This window comes from Homo sapiens, chromosome 14 (genome assembly GCF_000001405.40).
Source record: "Homo sapiens chromosome 14, GRCh38.p14 Primary Assembly".
NCBI lineage: Eukaryota > Metazoa > Chordata > Mammalia > Primates > Hominidae > Homo > Homo sapiens.
The window spans coordinates 47,377,962-47,399,214 of NC_000014.9; the positions used below are offsets into that span (position 1 = coordinate 47,377,962).

The 21,253-nt window shown below is 36.3% G+C and overlaps 1 protein-coding gene across 4 annotated transcripts in view, besides 1 other annotated feature; it reads right to left on the reverse strand.

The window, feature by feature from the left end:
* The window catches only part of MDGA2 (MAM domain containing glycosylphosphatidylinositol anchor 2), an 835,983-nt gene that overhangs the window by 538,339 nt on the left and 276,391 nt on the right, over positions 1-21,253 (reverse strand). The gene's annotated exons all lie outside the window — the stretch shown is intronic.
* Positions 11,586-12,276: an enhancer, noted in NCBI's record as "NANOG hESC enhancer chr14:47858750-47859440 (GRCh37/hg19 assembly coordinates)". NCBI's record gives its function as "activates a minimal SCP1, AML or CMV promoter by ChIP-STARR-seq in naive H9 embryonic stem cells {active_cell/tissue: H9 hESC(naive)}" and the evidence as "EXISTENCE:reporter gene assay evidence [ECO:0000049][PMID:30033119]".

A 21,253-nucleotide genomic window follows, 5' to 3' on the forward strand; every position in this document is an offset into this window, starting at 1 on the left:
TAGGGGCCAACTGACATCTCATACAGCTGGGTGCCCCTCTGAGACGAAGCTTCCAGAGGAAGGACCAGGCAGCAACATTTGCCGTTCTGCCATGTTTGCTGTTCTGCAGCCTCTGCTGGTGATACCAGTCAAACAGGGTCTGGAGTGGACCTACAGCAAACTCCAACAGACCTGCAGCTGAGGGTCCTGACTGTTAGAAGGAAAACTAACAAACAGAAACAACATCCACACCAAAACCCCATCTGTACATCACCATCAACAAAGACCAAAGGTAGATAAAACCACAAAGATGGGGAAAAAACAGAGCAGAAAAGCTGAAAATTCTAAAAATCAGAGCACCTCTTCTTCTCCAAAGGAACGCAGCTCCTTGCCAGCAATGGAACAAAGCTGGACAGAGAATGAATTTGATGAGTTGAGTGAATAAGGCTTCAGACGATCGGTAATAAGAAACTTCTCCGAGCTAAAGGCAGATGTTTGAACCCATCGCAAAGAAGCTAAAAACCTTGAAAAAAGATTAGATGAATGGCTAACTAGAATAAACAGTATAGAGAAGAGCTTAAATGACCTGATAGAGCTGAAAACCATGGCAGGAGAACTAAGTGATGCATGCACAAGCTTCAGTAGCCGATTCGATCAAGTGGAAGAAAGGGTATCAGTGATTGAAGATCAAATGAATGAAATGAAGTGAGAAGAGAAGTTTAGAGAAAAAAGACTAAAAAAAATTGAACAAAGCCTCCAAGAAATATGGGACTATGTGAAAAGACCAAATCTACGTCTGATTGGTGTACATTAAAGTGGCAAAGAGAATGGAACCAAGTTGGAAAACACTCTTCAGGATATTATCCAGGAGAACTTCCCCAACCTAGCAAGGGAGGCCAACATTCAAATTCAGGAAATACAGAGAACGCCACAAAGATACTCCTCAAGAAGAGCAACTCCAAGACACATAATTGTCAGATTCACCAAAGTTGAAATGAAGGAAAAAATGATAAGGGCAGCCAGAGAGAAAGGTCGGTTACCCACAAAGGGAAGCCCATCAGACTAACAGCGGATCTCTTGGCAGAAACTCTACAAGCCAGAAGAGAGTGGGGGCCAATATTCAACATTCTTAAAGAAAAGAATTTTCAACCTAGAATTTCATATCCAGCCAAACTAAGCTTCATAAGTGAAGGAGAAATAAAATCCTTTACAGACAAGCAAATGCTGAGATTTTGTCACCACCAGGCCTGCCTTACAAGAGCTCCTGAAGGAAGCGCTAAACATGGAAAGGAACAACTGGTAGCAGCCACTGCAAAAACATGCCAAATTGTAAAGACCATCGATGCTAGGAAGAAACTGCATCAACTAACGAATGAGCAAAACAACCAGTTAACGTCATAATGACAGGATCAAATTCATACATAACAATATTAGCCTTAAATGTAAATGGGCTAAATGCTCCAATTAAAAGACACAGACTGGCAAATTGGATAAAGAGTGAAGACCCATCAGTGTGCGGTATTTAGGAGACCCATCTCACGTGCAGAGACACACATAGGCTCAAAATAAAGGGATGGAGGAAGATCTACCAAGCAAATGGAAAACAGAAAATAAAAACAGGGGTTACAATCCTAGTCTCGGATAAAACAGACTTTAAACCAACAGAGATCAAAAGAGACAAAGAAGGCCATTACATAATGGCAAAGGGATCAATTCAACGAGAAGAGCTAACTATCCTAAACATATATGCACCCAATACAGGAGCACCCAGATTCATAAAGCAGGTCCTTAGAGACCTACAAAGAGACTTAGACTCCCACACAATAATAATGGGAGACTTTAACACTCCACTGTCAACATTAGACAGATCAACAAGACAGAAACTTCACAAGGATATCCAGGAACTGAACTCAGCTCTGCACCAACCAGACCTAATAGACACCTACAGAACTCTGCACCCCAGGTCAAGAGAATATACATTCTTCTCACTACCACGTCGCACTTATATCAAAATTGACCACATTGTTGGAAGTAAAGGACTCCTCAGCAAATGTAAAAGAACAGAAATTATAACGAACTGTCTCTCAGACCACAGTGCAATCAAACTAGAACCCAGGATTGAGAAACTCACTCAAAACTGCTCAACTACATGGAAACTGAACAACCTACTCCCAAATGTACTGGGTATGTAATGAAATGAAGGCAGAAATAAAGATGTTCTTTGAAACCAATGAGAACAAAGACACAACATACGAGAACCTCTCGGACACATTTAAAGCAGTGTGTAGAGGGAAATTTATAGCACTAAATGCCCACAAGAGAAAGCAGGAAAGATCTAAAATTGACACCCTAACATCACAATTAAAAGAACTACAAAAGCAAGAGCAAACACATTCAAAAGCTAGCAGAAGGCAAGAAATAACTAAGATTAAAGCAGAACTGACAGAGATAGAGACACAAAAAACCCTTCAAAAAATCAGTGAATCCGGGAGCTCATTTTTTGAAACGATCAACAAAATTGACAGATCACTAGCAAAACTAATAAAGAAGAGAGAAGAATCAAATAGACGCAATAAAAAAGGATAAAGGGGATATCACCACCGATCCCACAGAAATACAAACTACCATCAGAGAATACTACAAACACCTCTACGCAACTAGAAAATCTAGAAGAAATGGATAAATTCCTCGACACATAGACTCTCCCAAGACTAAACCAGGAAGAATCTGAATCCCTGAATAGGCCAATTACAGGCTCTGAAATTGAGGCAATAATTAATAGCCTACCAACCAAAAAATGTCCAGGACCAGATGGATTCACAGCCAATTTCTACCAGAGGTACAAGCAGGAGCTGGCACCATTCCTTCTGAAACTATTCCAATGAATAGAAAAAGAGGGAATCCTCCCTAACTCATTTTATGAGGCCAGCATCATCCTGATACCAAAGCCTGGCAGAGACACACAAAAAAAGAGAATTTTAGACCAATATCCCTGATGAACACCGATGCAAAAATCCTCAATAAAATACTGGCAAACCAAATCCAGCAGCACATCAAAAAGCTTATCCACTACGATCAAGTTGGCTTCACTCCTAGGATGCAAGGCTGGTTCAACATACACAAATCAGTAAATGTAATCCAGCATATAAACAGAACCAAAGACAAAAACCACATGATTATCTCAATAGATGCAGAAAAGGCCTTCGACAAAATTCAACAGCCCTTCAAGCTAAAAACTCTCAATAAACTAGGTATTGATGGGACATATCTCAAAATAATAAGAGCTATCTATGACAAACCTATAGCCAATATCATACTGAATGGGCAAAAACTGGAAGCATTCCCTTTGAAAACTGGCACAAGACAGGGATGCCCTCTCTCACCACTCCTATTCAACATAGCGTTGGAAGTTCTGGCCAGGGCAATCAGACAGGAGAAAGAAATAAAGGGTATTCAATTAGGAAAAGAGGAAGTCAAATTGTCCCTGTTTGCAGATGACATGATTGTATATTTAGAAAACCCCATCGTCTCAGCCCAAAATCTCCTTAGGCTGATAAGCAACTTCAGCAAAGTCTCAGGATACAAAATCAATGTGCAAAAATCACAGTCATTCCTATACACCAATAACAGACAAACAGAGAGCCAAATCATGAGTGAACTCCCATTCACAATTGCTACAAAGTGAACAAAATACCTAGGAATCCAACTTACAAGGGATGTAAAGGACCTCTTCAAGGGGAACTACAAACCACTGCTCAACGAAATAAAAGAGGACACAAACAAATGGAAGAACATTCCATGCTCATGGGTACGAAGAATCAACATTGTGAAAATGGCCATACTGCCCAAGGTAATTTATAGATTCAATGCCATCCCCGTCAAGCTACCAATGACTTTCTTCACATAATTGGAAAAAACTACTTTAAAATTCATATGGAACCAAAAAAGAGCCCACATTGCCAAGACAATCCTAAGCAAAAAGAACAAAGCTGGAGGCATCACACTACCTGACTTCAAACTATACTACAAGGCTACAGTAGCATGGTACTGTTACCAAAACAGAGATAAAGACCAATGGAACAGAACAGAGCCCTCAAAAATAATACCACACATCTACAACAATCTGATCTTTTGACAAACCTGACAAAAAGAAGGAATGGGGAAAGGATTCCCTATTTAATAAATGATGCTGGGAAAACTGGCTAGCCATACGTAGAAAGCTGAAACTGGATCCCTTCCTTACACCTTATACAAAAATTAATTCAAGATGGATTAAAGACTTACATGTTAGACCTAAAACCATAAAATCCCTAGAAGAAAACCTAGGCAACACCATTCAGGACATAGGCATGGGCAAGTGCTTCATGACTAAAACACCAAAAGCAATGGCAACAAAAGCCAAAATTGACAAATGGGATCTAATTAAACTAAAGAGCTTCAGAACAGCACAAGGAACTACCATCAGACTGAACAGGCAACCTACAGAATGGGAGAGAATTTTTACAATCTACCCATCTGACAAAGGGCTAATATCCAGAATCTACAAATGACTTAAACAAATTCATAAGAAAAAATCAAACAAACCCATCAAAAAGTGGGTGAAGGATATGAACAGACACTTCTCGAAAGAAGACATTTATGCAGTCAACAGACACATAAAAAATGTTCATCATCACTGGCCATCAGAGAAATGCAAATCAAAACCACAATGAGATACCATCTCACACCAGTTAGAATGGCAGTCATTAAAAAGTCAGGAAACAACAGGTGCTGGAGAGGATGTGGAGAAATAAGAACACTTTTACACTGTTGGTGGGACTATAAACTAGTTCAACCATTGTAGAAGACAGTGTGGCGATTCCTCAAGGATCTAGAACCAGAAAAACCATTTGACCCAGCTATCCTATTACTGGGTACATACCCAAAGGATTATAAATCATGCTGCTATAAAGACACATGCACATGTATGTTTATTGTGGCACTATTCACAACAACAAAGACTTGCAACCAACCCAAATGTCCATCAATGATAGACTGGATTAATAAAATGTGGCACATATACACCAGGAAATACTATGCAGCCATAAAAAATGATGAGTTCATGTCCTTTGTAGGGACATGGATGATGCTGGAAACCATTATTCTGAGCAAACTGTCACAAGGACAGAAAACCAAACACTGCATGTTCTCACTCATAGGTGGGAATTGAACAATGAGAACACTTGGACACAGGATGGGGATTATCACACACCGGAGCCTGTCAGGGGATGGGGGAGGGATAGCATTAGGAGATATATCTAATGTAAATGATGAGTTAATGGGTGCAGCACACCAACATGGCACATGTATACATATGTAAAAAACATGCATGTTGTGCACATGTACCCTAGAACTTAAAGTACAATTAAAAAAAAAAGAAAAGAAAAATATACTGGATTACTTGGTAGTGCCTATCAAATGCTTGCCTAATAAGGTCCATGTATTAAATCACTACTGTATGTAATATGTGATTCATTGAAGAAATATTAATAAAATTCTGTGTGGAAAGTAAATGACACATATCACACCATTCTTCTGAATGGAGACTCATTAGAATTTCTTGAATTTCTTTTTTTCGAGACAGGGTCTCACTTTCTCGCCCAGGCTGGAGTGCAGTGGCATGATCTCAGCTCAGTGCAACCTCCACTTCCTGGGTTCAAGCGATTCTCCTGCCTTAGTCTCCTGAGTATTTGAGAGTACAGGCACCTGCCACCTTTGTATTTTTAGTAGAGACAGGGTTTCACAATGTTGGCCAGGCTGGTCTTCAACTCCTGACCTCCTGTGATCCACACGCCTCAGCCTCCCAAATTGCTGGTATTACTGGCGTGAACCACCACACCCGGACGGTTCATTAGAATTGCTAATGCACAAAGCACTCTAATTGTGAATATATGTTATGACGATTTTGATCATGCCTGAGACAAAAAAATTGTCATCTATGGACTGCATGGTGCTTAAGGCAGCCTAGCATAAAGTCTCTATGTATAGAGTTAAATAGATAGATGATAGATAGATAGATAGATAGATAGATAGATAATAGATAGATTAGATAAAGAGATAAATAGAACATAATGATATTCCATATTGGTTAGTAACTAATGAATACCATCAAATACTCTCTCCTATAATTTCATATGAAAAATATATCCAGAGGCTTACAAAGTATTGTAAAATAGAACCTGATAATCATATAGACATAACATTAAAAATTCCAGGAGGCAATAAGGAAGGTAGAGAGTCAATACTTGGCAGCATTGATGGAGGCAAAGGGACTGAGTCAGAGAATGGACCCTTAGGCGAGTTGCTGCTGAGCCACATGAGGGGATCTAGTATCCAGGGGACTCCAATGTTCTGCATACTATACAACCTCATTTTGATACTAAACCTCATAATAATCTTAAAGTCTAGAACAAAAGTGAATGTGCAGATTCTATTTTATTTTTCCTCAAGCAGCAGTTTTCCAGGATCATTCCTCATAGAATTGTTATCTTGTATTATTCTTCCTTTCCTTCTTGATTTCTTCTATTTTCTTCTTGGTATTATATGGGCTGCACTTGGAACTACAGAGATTTACCATTATTTGCATTCCCTCTTTTCCAACCCAGTATATTTCATACTTTTATGTTTTGCAGTATGGCTTGAGAGGGCAACTTTACCACATACTGCCATCCAAATCACTGCTCCTGATTGCTTGGGTGGGTGCCACAGTACTTCCATACAGCTCCCAGTGGCTCCATCCCACCTGATATACCCACTTAAGAGACTCTCCAGTGGAGAACAAAATATTGCAAAAACAAATTGAAAGTCACTGAACAAATGAGGGTGTTAAGCCCAGTAGGGTGGCCCAGATGAACAGAACACTGCAGAGCTAATCAGGAAACCATGCAACCAGAGAATACAAAGATAGCTGAGCCTATAACAATGGAGGAACCATACAACGAATACTTCTGATGCCTTCAGCTATTTCAAATTTGTCTTGCCAGGGTTTCATAAAAGGGAGCAAACATTTTTCTTGATGTGAGCAGACATGATTTCAAGTTCTAACTGTGTTATTACCTGCTTATATAATCCTGGGTGAAGCAGCCAAACAGTCTATGAGCCCTAGTTGAACATAATACTGACCAATTTTACATATATGATGTATATCTAATAATAAAACCAATTAGATTTATAAAATTATACTATGTCTAAAATGTTTTCATTTATGTTTTAAGTAAATTGCATATTAAGTCTAATAATTATAACTATATAAATATAAATATCTACTATGACACTGATCGTTTCTGGATCCAAACAAAATTCATTATGAAGGCTCACATTTACCAAGATTAGAAACTGACATTCATTCCCTTAGGTACAGTAAAATTATTTTAGTAAAAATTGAAAAATAATTGAAATATGTGATAAATATAATTTATTAAGAGCCATATTAGCTAGCATACATTTTGTATATGAAATTATCTATCAAAATAAAAATTGAAACACAATCATAAATATTTTCAAGAATGGCAAATAGGACATTGTTTTAAATATGGAATAATAATATTATTATTCAAGAGAAGAACACTGATATTAGGACACTGATAATTAAAAAGCTATTTTTTTCTTTCAAAGTTTTAAGTAGTTCAGAAGAAAGGTGAGTGAGCATCAATGATCCCTCTTTCCATCTTCCTTCCTCCCCAGCCATTAGCAATGCTGTCACTGTTTCTTTCTAAATGTCAGGAGCAAAGAAGTCACACATTTGCTCTCTTTGGAGGAAAGAAGGAAATGGGGTAGCTTTTGTGTGAGCCAAATGAACAAATTATCTCTAAGATATTCTAAGGAAAGTCGGTGATGATAGCAACTGAGGCAGTTGCTTACCTATTTTATAATGTTGATAAATCCCAAAACTGTAATCACTAACATGACAGAGGGAAAAAGTAATAAATACAAGTTGTAATTCAGAATGGTATAATGAATTAAGGAAACCTATATCATATCCATTAGAGTATTTTTCTAATTTATGAAAGCATAGATTTCAGCCAGGCGCGGTGGCTCACATCTGTAATCCCAGCACTTTGGGGGGCTGAGGCAGGTTGGATCACCTGAGGTCAGGAGTTCGAGACCAGCCTGGCCAACATGGTGAAACACCGTCTCTACTAGAAATACAAAAATTAGCCGGGCATGGTGGGGGGCACCTGTAATCCCAGCTACTCAGGAGGCTGAGGCAGGAGAATTGTTTGAACACGGAGGCGGAAGTTGCAGTGAGCCGAGATCGCACCATGCACTCCAGTGTGCGCAACAAGAGCAAAACTCCACCCAAAAAAGAAAGAAAGAAAAGAATAAAGTATAGATTTCATTTATAATCTTTTCAATGATTTTGATTTCATAAAAACTCATTATGGTTAATTTTATCAGAGAAAAAATTAAACCACTGACTGATAACACGTAGTTAACAAAGACATAATCATCATCAGTTTCACAATGAAATGGCCACCACTCCTCAAAGACGTGAACATGGTAATCATTTCAGAAGAAATGTTAACAAAAGTGACAATTACAAGGTAAAAGTGTTCTCAGGAAATGGTAATATAAAATGTGAGCCCTGCTGAAAAGTACTGATTAGTTAAGAAGAAGAGTGAAAACATATGAAGAGCAAAAGGAAAAATGGAGAGACAAGTACCAAGACTATCAATACCTGTTGAAGCTAGCCTCTGGCAATTTGTCAAACTAATAATAAATAATAATAAGAAGAAGAATCCACTTCCACAAGTATGGTATTTATATCATTCAGGGACTATATATGGGCTGCAGCATGACTCAGTGTAACAGACTATCTGTGAGCATAAACTCATGAGGCACACTGCCTGGCTTCAGATTCTGCTCTGCATTTACAAGTTGTGTCATCTTAGAAAGTGTCTTATTTTCCTCATCTGCAAAATGAGAGTATTAATATCTACTTCACTGGGTTTTTATGAGGATAATATGAAGGATTTAAAATAGTATATATGGCACATGGTACATATTCAACAAATGGCAGCTCTTGATACATAATGAATTTAAAAAAGCACCAAAGCAAATATGATCAGACTGTACAGCCCCATGACTGTTCTTCTTCAAGGTTATCTTCAGAGGGTATGACTCGTGTTTCTGATACTTTTTTTAGAATACCTTACTAGGAACTGGTTGCTGTACAATCTCAGGAAACGTTAAGGATCTCTCTAACATTATTTCAAAATTTCATAGGCCAAATCGGTTCTACAATCAGCATCCTTTCTTCAGTTCGCGAACAGGTTGTTTGAGACCAAGACAAACAGTAAAGTGGGTTACTTTGGTACCACGGTTGGGTTATTCTCCACCCACCCCCAAACCCACCCCTCTATCTTTTAGAGGGAAAGGATGGAAGCTGGAGGTGGAGACTAAAGTTGTTATGACCCTATCACGCACTCGGATCTTTGTGGGGAATACACCAAAACAGCTGGGTGTTTTTCTCTCTGTCCTCACTGTCTACCAGGTACCTCTTATGCCCACACAACCCCTCCTCTATTACTCTCCTTTGTACTCTTTTGATGTAAGCAATTTCAGCTAAATAAAGTAAAAAAGATAAAAATTAGAAGTTGCCGAAGTTGTTCTAAATTATGCTGCTTAGTAAATCAACCAAGATACTCAATTGTTTTGAAACATTTGAGGCAGAAAACACTTCTTTGCCAAATTCAGCATGTGGGCATAATTATTTTTAACATATTTATACTTTAAATATCCATGTGTCAGGATAAATATACTTAACTGACATACTCTAGACCCTGCATAGAATGGATATGACAACTTTGAAAGTCATAGATCTCACCATCTCTCTGGACTGAGGATACGTTTACGTGTAAGAAAGACCCTCTCTATGTCCAAACCTATCCGTATTTAAGGGATGGGTCAGACAAGCACAGCCTTCGATATAAAGGAAAATGACAATATGTGAATAGGAAATCCCTTTTGGCTAGTAAATCTCACTTTTGAATATTCACTACATTTATTTTCATTGGTTCCTCTGATCCTAATGTATGGTTACTCAGAAATCACAGACGAAAATGATGACAAACACTATTTCCATATTTTCCTTTCTATCTAATCCTGAAAACTCATTCCTGGATGCTCTGAGGAGTTTGTTTTTGTCTTTATTGTTTTGATTATTTGTATTTTGTTTCCTTTCTTCTGTTAGGTATTGCCAGAATGCTTGTTGAAATTATCCTAGGTATGGAGGCATAAACAGTAAGAAATAACGGTATAAGTGATTTCTTAGTTTGAGTTCCTTTTCTAAAATCTAGTCTGAAATTAAATACTGTCCACCATTATCCAGGTTGAGAATAGTATACTGAAGTAAACTGAATCCTCGGATAGTTCCTTACTGGCACTAAATCAACTGTTTCAGACTCTATTATCCCAAATACAGTGCTATTTTCCCTTTCACAAACCAAGGCTTCCTTCTGCTTTTGTGCATTCCCACAATCTGTTCTACCTCCACCTGAATGCTGTGTCTTCTGCCTACCTTACTCTTTTTCTAGGAAGTGATTATCAGTTCATCTATCTTAACTGGTTGCCCTTTTGACTGAAGATTTCTGACCTTACTTGACCAAGTCAGATTCTCTTTTTCTCAGGATATTGAAATCAGGACTCTGAGATGCCAAGTAGCATCTTGAACAGATGTAGAAAATTAGGGGTTTGGAGTGTGAGTTATATTCTTCTATCATGCTTAGAAATGTACAGAAAGCTGGTCTCAGAGAAAAAGGGGAAAGTGATGCAGGTGCACACAGAGAAGCCTAGGGAGGAGGATAAGTGACCCAGAGAAAAAGAGAAAGACAAAGCAACGCCACTTTGGCCTGAGTCTAACTCCTCAGCATACGATGACACACTCAGCCTCCTTGCAGTATAAAGTGCTTTCTACCTCTCAGTTACAAGCATATGTCCCGATGGATACACTGACTGTCATTCAAACTAAAGGTCGTATTTTACCTTCTGTATTACATCTTCCCTGGTTATTTCTTATTGATGTCTAAATGTTAAAAATTCCATTGCAACAGAGGCTTTGTGCCACAAAATTCTGTACTAATTATATAAAGTTATGCATTATCTATATTTGTTAGTCACATTTCACCACCAAAATCCTATGATCAGCACCAAGTCTTTACTTTTCAAAAAATTTTCAAATACATCCAGCACAGTACTAGCAAATAGCTGGTGCTTCATAATAGCTTTGATTAACACAGTGTATACTTTGGATCCATGAAATGAAAAAATAAATGTTATACAAATGCTGTATGGTCAAAATATAGGTGTGAACACATAAACATGTTGACTTCTAAAATAGATGATGTATCATGAAATTAAATAACAAAAAGTCCCCAAACTGACATATAATGACTAAAAATGTGTGTAATAATATATTGTGCGTGTTTCTTAGACTGACCTTACTAATTTTTGTAATTTTAAATGGCATACATGTAGAATACTTATTTTTAATCTATAGGGTCTTTTTTTGAAAACTGCTTTCTAGGAATGTCTTTAGACAATAAATAAATGAAAAATAAAAAGCTATTTGAACAATTACAGAGAACTTGTCAATTACCCTTTTGCAGGAAAACACACACACACACACCCACACACACACACACACACACACACACACACACTTCAGAAAGCAAAGCAGCCTCACTCACCCCCTGCAGCTGCAGAAGTGAGAAGGCAAAATACCGCCCTACTTTGCAGTCCTTGGGCCTCAGGGTGAAAAAAGGGGGGAGGGATTTCCCAGAGAGCTGTGAATAAAACCTGTTGCCAGAGTCAAGTACTTTAAAATGCCCAAGGGTAGAGGATTCTAACATAATTCCCTTAAATACATACAAACAACATTTTAAGCATAGAGCCAAAGGACTTTAAAAGGATAGTAAGAGAGAAGCCATTTAACTATTTAGTGGTGAATATCTTGACTCTCAGACAGAAACAATGCAGGCTGGCTCCTTGAATATGCTCTTACAAATAGAGGCTACCCATGGAAGTAGAGGACAGGCCTCTTTGAGCTGCAATATGACTTCCCTTAGACTCTTAGTTGTGCCCCTCCTGTAATCCGTAGAACTTCAGCATTTGAGGTGTTGATCACTCTCAATTTAAAACGGTCCCTAAAGGCAAATACAGATTAAATATGAGGCTTAATTCTCCCTGTTGAAAATAAGGAAATAAACTTTCTCTGTCCTTTTCTTAAAGCATTTATTTAGAAAACTTTTCACTTCTTCCTCTTCTCTTTGCAATATATGTAACTCTTTTTAAAAGATAATAAGCCAGCTTTACAACCCCAGAATGTCTTTCTCAAAGACTAGGGAAGTAACTTTTTGAAATGGAATCATCAGGGAAGATAGTGTCTCTGTCACCCAATTCCTAAGGAAGAGTAGGAGCCTAACTTTGGCTGGTGCCTCTCGCCAAAACAACCTTCCATCGTAAAGATACTATCGTTTTTCCTTTGGATAAAGCCAACTAGCTAATATGACAATATGCATGGTCACCCCAATTACCAAATTAAGTTAGGATGAATTATGTGTGACAAATGATGCTGTCAAGTTCTCTTACTTGAGAACTAGTTATTGTTTATCTTGGGAACACGTAGGAAATGAGTTGTACCTGCTCAGACACATAAAAGGGTGATTTCTTTCTATCTTCGCAATCTCTTTAGTGGATTTCTGTGATGCAGGTTACATTCCAGTTTAATGCTTATTCAATAATTAAACCGGTTTCTTTCTCCTTTACTTTTGTGGGAGAGGCTTTCCAGTTTGGGAGATTTTGTTTCTAATTTTATTTCCCTAACATCTGCTCCTGGTTTCCGGGACACCAGTTTCTCCTGGAATTTTTCCTATTTCTCTAAATGTTTCTTCTTGATATCCTTGGCTGAATTCTTTTCCTACCATAGAATGGACCAAATTTTTCAAGGTCTGGTCTCTTTTCTATTTTTCCAACCCTTATCCTGGCTGTTTCCACTCCTACCATCTCCTGTCTAGCCAGCCCTTGCATATTTACAATGTAACACACTAGACTAGAGACATAGCATGTTACTTTTGATGCTATGCTTTTAAGGTGCTGTTCTCTCTGGCTGGAATCATATTCTCCATTCTCTTGGCAGACACATAATAACCCTCCTCCGGTATGATATCCTCTGTGAAGCTCTTCTGGACCAAACTCTGGTAACACTTCTTACTTCCTTTCAGTGCAAACTCTGCTGTGATTTCATGCTGCCCTAGCAACTTTTTGATTGTGACTGCCTGTACTGTAGATTTGCCGAAGGGAGAAAATGCACAAATCTGCTCCAGAATTTCTGCTCATGTGACAGCGATTTCTCATTATAAATAGGGTGGCATTGTTTTGCCATAGTTTTTAGGAATCAGTTTCTGTGAATAGACAAGTGTGAAACTGCCTCTAAGAAACGGGATGATCCATTCAGAGTTATTTCCGAGGTTTGAGGGAGTGAAAGTCAGACACAATATAATGGCAGCCATTAGCACTCTGTGGATGCCGGTTAGTCGGCCTTCCCTGGTTATATGTCAACCCCATCTCACTTTGGACATCTGTTTAAATTGTATTTTTTCTTGTCACAGGTATGCATATAAATATAACACACTAATCAAGGCAACTCATTTCTCTGATCTTGGTTTTATCAATTATTAAATGTCAGGTTTGATCTTGATCATCTCTAAAAGTCATTCTCACAGTAAAATACATGAATTTGAAAATGTTTTTCTAATTTTCAATGTCAACACCAGCAAATACTAGAAACACACAGCTACATTTGATTAGTGTCAGACATTCCGTTTTCTCTTTGGTGAGCTTTGGTGTCTATAAACCCCCTTTAATATAAGTATCTCAAAGATTTGATTTAAGCAATTTAGAAGCACTAATTAAAAGTTATTTTAAACTGACACCTCTTTATGTTAATTATTCTCATATGCATCACTCAAACAAATAGAGGGCTAAAGGAGACGACTTTTGGCATGCTGTGAGGCAAAGCTGTGCACATCCCGGTAATTCTGTCTGTAACAGGGTGACCTTAAATTAAGTTCCCTTTTATCTTATCAAATTTTCAGAATTTCAAACTTTTAACACTCAGATCTCCTGAAGAGCGCATCAAATGGAAGGCGTATGTAAAGAACTGAGTGAATAATGAATGTACAAGAAAATAAATAAATAGATAAATAACATCGTTTAAGGTGAGGTTGAGGAAAGGAAAAAGACATAGTTAATTACTGAAGTCAAAGGGGCAAAGACAAAAATGAAGCTTAGAAATCATTAACTTTTATCATTTCATGAAGCAAATGTTCCAGCATTTAAAGTGGTGGAAAACTGTCGCCATAGTACATTGAAATAAAATATCTAGTTTTGCTGATGTCTCATGACTCACATAAAAATGTTTGACCCACATAAAAATTTTGACCCACATAAAAATGTTTATTATAATACAGACTCATGCAAGTAGGCCTTTGAGTCCTAGCCAGATTTCAAGAAAAATCTATGTTTATTCAACAAATATCTTTGAGTGGAAGATAAATATAGACTCTGCCTTCAACAAGCAGGAGAACTTTCAGGGTAAACAGTCCAGAGAGACCCTACTGAGCTGCACATATCCTGTGATGTTTCTGGAACCTTGTCAGGAAGCAAGACTTTGCTAACATCTGCTAGGAACAGATGAGGAGCTGCTTTACATGGCAATGTGGCTCAGCCTACATTCCCACTTACACTTGCTGTCCAGAGGTAGACATACATATTTTTAAACCAAAAAATAAAAAATAAAGAAAAAATATCTGTTGAATGAGATTTCTTAATTTAAACATAAAACACATAAGTCTGTTATTGCCTAAATGGAAATAAGGATCACATTTAGGGCAAAGAAAAAGCTCAGAAGCATGGGAATAATATAAATTTGAGCATCTCGTTACTTTTATTTCTTCATGAGCCAAGCACATTCTGGCAGGAAATATCAGATCAGACCAGTATTTTTTCAGAAGCTTTTGCAGCTAAAAAAGAAAGTAATCTTCCAAAGTCTTAAAAACTAAAGTGTTTGTTAGATGAACCTTGAATTACTGCTAACCAAAGAAACCAGATAATTAAAATAATAATAATAATAATAATAATAATAATTGCAAGAAGGGATACAAATAGCTTGCCGTGTCAAACATCTTTGTTATCTGGAGATTGACAGGCTTGAGAAATTAAAAAACTTTATAGTTGCTTTAAGTGGGGAATCTAAAGCGTTCATTTCTTTCACATCGATGAGAATCTGTGTACTTACTATGGCAAAATAACTTACTTCCAAACATACTGCTTTATATTAAAACCAGAATCCCTATTTATTTTAGGTTTTCATTTTTCAAACTTTTCTTCAATTTTGGGAAAATTTTAAAGTTTTTAAATTGCAATTATTAAAAAAAATAAAAATATAATTACACATTTAATGCATGAATATATTTGCCATGTTAAAATTAAAATACCACAGATAACAGCTTTTTCTTTTAAATTGTGGGTATAGAGAAAGAGAAAAGTGGATTTATAATCAGCAGAAGCTAATTTCCCATCACCTTTAAGCTTAAGGCCCCTTATTTGCACAGTCTGTTTCCAAGGACCAGCCTCTGGTTTTTGATTTGCTATTTCATATTCTATTCATTTAGAAGCCCTTCCTCCTTCCTTCAAAATTTTATAAGCTTCAAAGGCCAATGAAATCTGAATGTGATATTGATAATCAGTTAACATTCTACATTGATATGATCACCAGCTATTTTTCCATCTTTCAATAGTAAGAAAATCTTGTGACCTGTGCCTGTACAGGAAATGAGGAAATGTATTTGTGACTTGACTAATCATACTGGCTTACCAGGAACCTAAGGTTTTCTTGGAAAACCTTGTATTTTGACTATAAATATAAACGAACATTTGGTACCAAAACCAGGACAACTGATCACTGGAAGTTTGGGTTGGACAGTGGCTTAGTCAGAAGAAGAAGGACAATTAAGTTTGTTTAATCATGTTCTCCAAATACAAAATTGCTTGTGAACCTGCATATTCTGGCTCCCTTTTTTCCCCTTATGAAATGAAAATGCCAGTTCATCACTTCCACCATCATGAATATAAATAACATCACAATAAAAAATTTTTATAATAAAAATGCTACACATTTGTTAGCATGTGGCATTCCTTTAATTGCTTTTTTATCTGTTCATTCATTTGAAATTTTAAACTATCCACAAAAGAATAATATTTTCACTTAAAAAAATAAAAGAACTAAGCCACTGAGGTTTTGCATAAACAACTGAAGGAGACATAGTTTTTTAAGCCTGGACCAGAAACAAAGCTTCTTGACTTAGAACACAGTAAATCAGCAAGAAGGCATCTGTAACCTAGTGTAAAAGGTCCTAGACTCCCAATATTTACCATTAAGAAACCATCTTAAACTTAACCTCAACTGTGATAGCAATTTAACCATATCAGAAAGAGTATCATATAGGCGTGGCTATTTGATTTTATCTGCAAAAAATAGTCTTAAGTTTAAACAAGCCAGAGAGACTACTGTATTGCTTTCTGAATGAATGTATCTAAAACAGAATACAAAGAAGACTTAATGTTTCTCTTTATATATGCTAGTATACATGCCTCTCTATATTTGTTACTGGTCTCTTTAAAATTGTAACATTTTAATTTGAGAATTTCATAACTATATAACTATTAAAATGTGTGGATTTATTCACATGATTAAACATAAAGTGTCAAATTAAAACAAAAATATATTATGATCATGAATTACACTCAAAACCACAATTATTAGAAAGTTTTAAAATGAATAATTTTTGACAACAAATATAAAGTTATGTATTAAAGATTTAAAACTATGTCTAGCCAGGTGTGGTGACTCATCCCTGTAATCCCAGCAATCTGGGAGGCTGAGGTGGGAAGATTACTTGAGGGCAGGAGTTCAAGACAACTTGGTCAACATAGTGAGACCCCCGTCTCTGCAAAAAAATTTTAAAAATTATCTGGGAGTGGGGCCTCATGCCTATGGTCCCAGTTACTCAGGAGGCTGAGGCAGGAGGACAGTTTGAGCCCAGGAGTTCGAGGATGCAGTGAGCTATAATTGTGCCACTTCATTCCATCCCAGGTGACAAAGAGTGAAAAGCCAGCTCAAAAAACAGAAACAAAAAAACTATTTCTGATACGCTTAGATTTTCAAATATTGCAACATAATATCACACCTAAACAAATTAGAGTCCTAATTTAAAAAAGAAAAAAGCTTGATGCAGAATGAAAAGAACACTTTCAAAGTTTATACCAGTTTTGAAAATAAGTTCACAATATGTAGTCATATCCCAGAGTGTTGATGTTTATCTACTTCCCCACAGTGTTCTTCTCAGAATAAAAAATATGATGAGGCATATTATAATATATATCTACATACAATATTTCGTCTTTAATATACTTAAATTTCTGACTTTATGGCAAGTGCCAAACATAACATTAAACGTATTGGAAAGCAATAATTTTTAAAATGTTTTTTAAATAATTTACTAAAGTAAATACCTAGTGATTGGAAAATGATGTTATTCAATATGAACTTGATTTTTGAGAGTTACAATGAAAACTATAAGGCAATCAAAAATGTACATGATGATTCCTAGAAAATAAACATGACTGAATTATAGACAATGAACATATTAATAATTATGATATATTATCAGACAAAACATATACATTTAGTAGGTTTTTCTTAATAAAGTATAGGAGCTGAGAATGAATTCATACATAATTATAACTTTTAAATCATGTTCATATATAAAAACAGTATAGTCACCATTTTGTTTAAGTTTGTTACAATACTCACAATGTTTAAATATGTGTTAGGTTAGAAAGGAAGTAAAGGACCATTTTTCTTTTAACTAGCAATTTATGCCACAGGTTCTCATATTTACTTTCGTGTGTAGCAAGCATGAAAAACAAAAAGTAAACCCAGGTCTTCATATTTTCTGACTAGCAAGAGAATCTATGTGTTTCATAAGTGTTGGAATGGGTAAAATTGAGGAGAAATAGTAGACTGTGCACTAATAGTCATGAGGCAAGTGCACAAATCAATTTTCAATAACAAACTTAGCCTGTAACTTTAAGTGAACAAACAGACTTTTCCTAATAAACATATTTTCAAAGCTGAGGAATTTTATTTTTTTTCTGTTCTACCTTATGTAATGCAGAAGGCTTTCATTATTATAGTCACATTTGTACTTCTAGACTCCTATATGTATTATCTGATAAAACAATTAACTCAGGATGGATTAAAGATTTAAATGTAAGACCTAAAACCATAAAAACCCTAGAAGACCTAAAACCATGAAAACCCTTTTTTCTTTTTTAAATTAGGACTCTAGAAAAAACCTAGGCAATACCATTCAGGACATAGCCATGGGCAAAGACTTCATGACTGAAACACCAAAAGCAAGGGCAACAAAAGTCAAAATTGACAAATGGGATCTAATTAAACTGAAGAGCTTCTGCACAACAAAAGAAACTATCATCAGAGTGAACAGGCAACCTACAGAATGGGAGAAAATTTTTGCAATCTATCCATCTGACAAAGGGTTAATATCCAGAATCTACAAAGAACTTAAATAAATTTACAAGAAAAAAACAACCCCATCCAAATGTGGGTGAAGGATATGAACAGACACTTCTCAAAAGAAGACATTTATGTGGCCAACAAGTATATGAAAAACAGCTCATCATCACTGGTCATTAGAAAAATGCAAATCAAAACCACAATGAGATACCATCTCATGCCGGTTAGAATGGCGATCCTTAAAAAGTTAGGAAACAACAGATGCTGGAGGGGATGTGGAGAAATAAGAATGCTTTTACACTGTTGGGAGTGTTAATTAGTTCAACCATTGTGGAAGACAGTGTGGCGATTCCTCAAGGATCTAGAACCAGAAATACCATTTAACCCAGCAATCCCATTACTGGGTATATCCCAAAGGATTATAAATCATTCTACTATAAAGACACATGCACACGTATGTTTATTGCAGCACTGTTCACAATAGCAAAGACTTGGAACCAACACAAATGCCCATCAATGACAGACTGGATAAAGAAAATGTGGCACATATTCACCATGGAATACTATGCAGCCAAAAAAAAGGATGAGTTTATGTCCTTTGCAGGACATGGATGAAGCTGGAAACCATCATTCTGAGCAAACTATTGCAAGGACAGAAAACCAAACACCACATGTTCTCACTCATAAGTGGGAGTTGAACAATGAGAACACATAAACACAGGGAGGGTAACAAGACACACTGGGGCCTGTCGGAGGGTGGGGACTAGGGGAGGGATAGCATTAGGAGAAATACCTAATGTGGATGATGGGTTGATGGGTGCAGCAAACCACCATGGCATATGTATACCTATGTAACAAACCTGAACGTTCTGCACGTGTATCCCAGAGCTTAAATTATAACATAAAAAAAGATGACCAAAAAAAAACCCAAACAAACAAACCCCAAAAAACTAAGACCTAACATTGAATTATGAGGGAAGAATTACCTAGGAAATTTTCAAAAGCCAAAATAAAAGAAAGCGTAGGCAAATCTGGACATTTTCTTTTCTTTATAGATCAATAGATAAGTATCTTTATAAATAGATTATCTCTATAAATGTAAATTACATGAGCACATATATGAATACATGCAAACATAGAGATATTTATATATAAATACATGTAAACACACATACAGAGATACTTCAGAAAGAAATGCTATATAATTGTATTCTGGATACAAGGAGGTAACCTTAGGGGCTAGTTGAAGAGACCCAGATTAAGAGAGGTAAAATACAGAGAATGTAAAGTTCTAATTATCAAGTGCATTTGCCTCACCTTTTTAGATACCTCAAGAATTAGAAACATCTGGTGACTAACAATTACATAGCACTTACTATGTACCAGGCACTGTCTTAAGAACTTTCATATATTTTCATTTTATCCTCACAACATCGCTTTGAGAATGGAACCATTATTAACCTAATTTTACAGAAGATAAATTGAGGCACCATAAAATGAAATGACGCTACTGAGGTCACATGATTGGTGTCTGGTCCAGGTATCAAACCCACAGTGGTTTGGCTTCAGAGTCTACCATGATACTATACGGCTCTTCAATTAACTGCCTGAGCCCACATTTTCCATGATATAGAACTATAGCTTAAATACTGTATGCCCAGGTTACTTATAACTCAAAAAATACTGAAGTATAGAAATCAATATTATTTTGAGAGTTACAGTTTCATCTGCATTAATTCTCTCAAGAGTCTTGTAGGAAGCAGTATTGAGCCAGGCAGACCTGGGTCCTAGTCCAACTCTACTAACTTTTGCCTGTGAGAGTTTAGGTAAGTGTTTTAATCATCTTCCATCTCATTTTATACTTTACGCTATGAAGAAAAAACTATTTTTTGGAGAGGTTGTTATGGGGATTATAGAAACTATATATTTATACATTTTCTGGTATTTGATGAGGGCTTTATAAATGATAGTTATTGTTAAACTATCATGATTATTTCCAGCTACATATGAGAAAATCAAGGATGAGAGAATGTAAAGGATTTTTCTATGGACACACAACGTTTAAGTAGTAGAGGTGTGACTTGAACTCAGGTTCTGTGGTGCTGTATTTCATGCAATTTAATGTATTTCAGGGCACCATCCTGCTTTAAAAATTCCCTAATATGTAGCACAAACTTCATCTTTTCAGTTATTTCCCTTAGTTCTTTATATTCATATCATCTTTTCTTGATTTTGAGTCTCTATGTAGTACAAAGTTTGTAAGATACAATTTAGTATTTAACTATTTCTAGCATTGTATTTGTTGCTTCTTCAAAAACATTTCAAATTGCCTGAGGACAGAATAATTGATATATACACAACTGTATCTACCTGTACCCTGTGTACTCAATAAGTAACTTTACTTGATTTCATTATAGAACAAATCTTACTCTTTCAACAAATACTTAGGTTCTATTTGTATTCATTTGATGAGCCCTCTGCCTCTCTAGAAGTTATTTCCTCTCCAGCCAAGAAAGAAAACCAGGTTTTTGGTAAAAATTTTGGTATTGAAAGATACTTGCAAATATCATAGGCAACAAATAAGGGAATGTACAGAAGAGAAATGTCAAAGATAAGACATAAGAAAGAAGGAAGCAT